Source organism: Homo sapiens, chromosome 10 (genome assembly GCF_000001405.40).
Source record: "Homo sapiens chromosome 10, GRCh38.p14 Primary Assembly".
Lineage (NCBI taxonomy): Eukaryota > Metazoa > Chordata > Mammalia > Primates > Hominidae > Homo > Homo sapiens.
Window position 1 is genome coordinate 21,721,379 of NC_000010.11, and position 5,143 is coordinate 21,726,521.

Sequence of the window (5,143 nt, forward strand, 5' to 3'; positions counted from 1 at the left end):
GCAGGAAAAAAATCTACCAAAACAGTGTCCACTTTTAAGTTTCACATTCAGTTAATTGAGGACACTTGAACCTTTTCCCCCACGCAGTCGACTCCTTTAGCATGAGCCAAGTTCCTAGGAATTTGACAGTTACTACTTTATAAACAAGCTCTTTTAAAACATCTCTGTGGTCATAGGCAGATATTTGAAAATATAAGAGGTAAACTCTTAATAACAGGAGAAATTATAAGCTGAAATATATTTTTATCTTAATATTTTAATATGGTATGCCAGTCTACTTAGGAAATACTAAGTTTCTTTTATTTGTTTTGAGTTTGAATACTGCCTTGGTAGAGACTTGCAGACGTTTAATATATTAAGTTATTCTAAATTTGCTAAGGATATTCTTTAACTCAGACACCTGAACATATATTGTTTAAAAGTGACTTAAGCTTAGTTCAATAATTATTCAATTTATTCTTAATCTACTGGTCTTTCAGTCTATCTTGTAAAATAATTACACTTCTCTTAATGAGGTTTTTACTAGAGTGTTACAATAAATGTTAGATAACATCTTGAGCAGAAGTGATTTTTATCAGTTATTGGTCTTGGGAAAGGGGAAGGATTCCTCTTTAAGATATTATATGAAGGATGTATACATCCATATATGTATATATAATCCTATATATTCTTATATATATTATCCTTACATAAAGAGGAATCTTTCAAATATATATATAAACTTAAGTTTGTTATGGCAGTTTTCTTAATTTGAAATAATTTTCGATATATAGAAAAGTTACAAGGACAGTACAGAGAGTTAGATATATCATGGATATCCTTCACTCAGCCTCCCCTAGTGTTAACTTATATTCTTACAGTACCAGCAGATCCAAGGAGAGTGTCTATTCACAATAGCCGTTCTCCTTACCTGGGCAGGTTAAGATTGAAATGTCATATAATAGGTACTTCTTTTCCAAAAAGAATTTCTAGTCTTTGTACCAGATCTTCTGAAACAGTCTTCTGGTATATTAGTAATTTGCTTTCAATGCACTTTTCAAAATCCGTTTCCAAAGTATGCTGTAGAGAAGTATGTGTATGTTAATGTTTCCTTTATTTCTTATTCCAGTTTTTTTTAATACAAAAGCTTTCATGCCCTTGATGCTTCATAACCCTTATTTCTTTGGGTTAACATGGACTTTCTTCCTTTCCCCTGAATCTTAATGCTTTTGCTTATTAATGGCAGCAAAGGTTTTTGAGTCTATGAAACGCCAGACACTGTGTGTGCTCTCTTCAGTAAGCCGTCTTCCTCTTCTGCATCTTCAGTGCTAATAAGCTGTGGGATCTTTCCACTAAAAGGTGGGGGTTTCTTGGCTTGGAGGTACCCAGTCTTTCCGAAAGACTCATCAAGGGTCCCAGTATTAACTGTTCCAAACATCAGTTAAGAAATGTAGGCTAAGCAGTGACAGTCATTTGTGTAGTCTTTGGTATCTCATCTTACCAACCTTAAAATGATGACGTTCATGATTTCAGTTTCCCAGCAGAAATTAATATGGAATGTAGTAGATGTTTTTATACACCAAAATGACTCTATCTGGTAAAATTAATAACTTTTAATTTCTCTTTTGAAAGTCTCTTGTTTAGATAAATGCCTTTACTAGAAAAACAACTACCACATTAATTTTAGCTAACCCGTTTGGGAAATTGGTCATTTCCAATAATACTTTCATTTATTGTATCAACTTTTGCCAGCCATCTTTTAAAAATAGATACTTTCCTTCTTTAGCATACGCTAAAGATACTTTATCTTTTTTTGATGATCATCATTATGCAAATTAGTTGTTGTGCCATACTCCTTTCTATTTTGATCTTTAGTATATATAGATCTAATAGATAGGGAAACTAAGATAATTCAGAGACTAGATCAAGAAAATGCCACCCCTCTGAAATTTGAAGCTAATAAGGATAAATATTAATATAAAGCCCTTGGCAGAAGGAACCCTTCCTAAAAAAGAGTATATTTCTAGTTCTAGTGAGAGTTGGATCTTTGGATTCTTATCTAAGGCAAGTGATGAGACTGATAATTGAAAGCAAAAAGGTATTCCAAGTGATATATTGATATGTCACATAGATGACTGCATGAACGAGAGTCAAAAGGCTGGGAGTGTTTCCTTGCTTTGGAAGTGCTAAGGCATCTAGAAGTACACTTTATAAAGTTAATAATAAACTAAAATGAGAATGCTATCCTCAGTGTCTTCTTGGAGGACCACCGTATCCGCATTCTGTACTGTGTTTTCTCTGTTGGTCCTATTTTTCTCTGCCCTGTCCTGTGGTCAGCTGTTACTTCTTGGTGTCAACAGACTGTCTCGAGATAAGACTGTTTCTTCCTCCTTCTAATTAATTTTCCATTTCTAATCTATTAAATGTGTAGTGGATCTTTTTTAGAATTGTATCTACAGTAAGAGTAAATTGGCTCTACAAAAGCTATTTTTAAGTATTAGGATCTGAGACGTCAACAGATGGGACTGGTAATATCTGTTTTTTCTGTTGAATTGTTTGTATTTTTCTTATTCTATATTGTTTTATTAATAGCTAAGATTCCCAAAGAATTGACTTCTGGAGAGAGAAAAAAATCTTAACTGTATCTCTGTTTATGAATTGTGTGTTTTATGTGCCCTCTACTACTAAATACATGGTAAGTGAACAGCACGATCTTCATGTTGAAGTTATAACTTACCTTTTCCCGAGGGACAGTTGATTGTTAAACAGGACTGAAGAGTACCAACTTACTGACTTTGTCTGCATATTTTTAATAAGAGGAAAAACAAAACCCAGAAATTGACAGATTTAATTTACACATTAAAGTGTGAACTATAAAATACACGCTTTGAGATAATAGAAAGCAAGGATGGTACATCCCAGAAACTGTTTCCGTGAACCATAAACGCACATTTTCATGCTTTGTAAGTGGGCTGAAGGCCAAGATGCAATGTCATGATGTGAGTCTGTCCAGAAATACAGCTTCTTCTCTGTGTTATTTTGCTTACAACTACTGTGTTGTCTTAGTCTCTTGTGTGCAGTTATACATATCCAAATGTCCCCCATCTTTTGTTCTTGTTATTCAGCTTCTTTACGATAGAAGTGCTTTAGTTCTTTGCCGATATTTTCAAGAGTTTTGTTCTGAAATAACTGCAATGATTTTAGTTTATAAAAGCTTCAGTTTGATTTCATTCATGAAAAAGAAGAACAATTCTACTTTAACATTTGTGGTTCTGTTAAATCTGAGAATTATTTCAGGCCACTGAGAGTCTTCTGTGAGTAACAGCATTTTGTATACAAGAGATTTGCCTCCAAAATGTCAAATTTTAAGGTCATAATATTCTTGGAAAGTGGGAGAGAGCATGCACATCAAAGAAAGCATTTTTATTACAGTGGATTACGCAATACTTTGGCCAGCCTCCTTAGCTTCATCTGTTTAAGGGTTCATTTTCGCTTGTTTGGCACAGGTCCCAGTGAGGCCTTCAGAATTGTGGTTAGCAACATGAATGAATTACAAACTTTGGACGAGCTCTTCAGTTAGTAGAGCTGGCTTGCTGCCAAAAAGACAGTGCCTTATATGGGGTCAGGGCAAAGCTGTGATTCGTTGAGTCCTGCATTGTATAGAAAACATACTTGGGATGCCTGTTTGCTTTCTTTTAAAATAAAAACAAAACAAAACAGAAAAAGCAGCAGGCTTCCAAGTCTATCAAAATAGGAAGTAACAAAATAGTGTGCAGGTTTTACTAATGACAGAGTTAAGCAATGGAAATACAGCTCCCTGTAGCTAAAATACTAGAAGTAAAAGTTGGACTTTTGACCTCCTTAGCCAGCTTGTGATATGAGAGATTGAAGCATTTGGTTAGATACCTGTTGTCTTCCTGCTTTTATGTTTCAGATGGCTTAATAAGATTAATTAGTCTCATGTCCACATGGTTGCTGTGCCACTGGGGTTTGGTATCAGCTAGATATGTTGAAAATTAAAAGCAGGAATAGTTACCTTCCAACGTGCCAGTTCTTCTTTTTTAAAAATTTGTAGTTATGGCCAGGCGCGGTGGCTCACGCCTATAATCCCAGCTCTTTGGGAGGCCGAGGCGGGTGGATCACCTGAGGTCAGGAGTTTGAGACTAACCTGGCCAACATGGTGAAACTCCGTCTGTACTAAAAATACAAAAAATTTAGCTGGGCGTGGTGGCGGGCGCCTCCTGTAATCCCAGCCACTGGGAAGTCTGAGGCAGAATTGCTTGAACCCTAGAGGCGGAGGTTGCAGTGAGCCGAGAACGCGCCATTGCACTCCAGCCTGGGTAAGAGTGAAACTCTTTCTCAAAAAAAAAAAAAAAAAAATTGTAGTTACGTAACTTTTTTTTTTTTTTTTGAGACGGAGTCTCGCTCTGTCGCCCAGGCTGGAGTGCAGTGGCGTGATCTCCTCTCACTGCAAGCTCCACCTCCTGGGTTCACGCCATTCTCCTGCCTCAGCCTCCCGAGTAGCTGGGACTACAGGCGCCCGCCACCATGCACGGCTAATTTTTTGTATTTTTAGTAGAGACGGGGGTTTCACCATGTTACCCAGGATGGTCTCGATCTCCTGATCTCGTGATCTGCCCACGTCAGCCTCCCAAAGTGCTGGGATTACAGGCGTGAGCCACCGCGCCCGGCCTAGTTATGTAACTTTTAAAAAATTGACATGTTGAATGGTAAAACAAGTAAGAACGAAATTTGCTTTTCAGAAGGTCACAAATTTTGCTTATATTCTTAGGTTGGAGAATATAATTACTAGATCTATTAGAAGGGAAAACTTTTAATATATTTTCACATATAATTCATTTATCATTGTAATTTTTTCCATTTAGGCAAATACTCTATCTGGATCTTCTCTCAGTCAGGCACCATCTCATATGTATGGCAATAGATCAAATTCATCAATGGCAGCTCTTATAGCTCAGTCTGAAAACAATCAAACAGGTAAGTTTTCAAGAATTACTAACTCTAAAACCCTACTCTCACCTACTTTAATTTTTTTCCCCTTTTGGTTCATTTTATTTGAAAACATGCAGGGATGTGGTTAGTAGAGGATTTGTACTTTAAAAAAATATTCACAGTTGGAAAATGTTAAATATTTCAGGTGCTG

General features: G+C 36.2%; 1 protein-coding gene across 4 annotated transcripts in view; it reads left to right on the plus strand.

The window, feature by feature from the left end:
- The window catches only part of MLLT10 (MLLT10 histone lysine methyltransferase DOT1L cofactor), a 209,875-nt gene that overhangs the window by 187,623 nt on the left and 17,109 nt on the right, over nt 1-5,143 (plus strand). For all 4 annotated transcript variants that reach the window (NR_136736.2, NM_001324297.2, NM_004641.4 and 1 more), the window contains one exon: nt 4,866-4,977. Coding sequence is in view for 3 of the 4 variants with exons in the window: in NM_001324297.2 (NP_001311226.1) it covers nt 4,866-4,977 (112 nt within the window). In the remaining variant the exon portion in view is untranslated. The remainder of the gene's footprint in view (nt 1-4,865; nt 4,978-5,143) is intronic.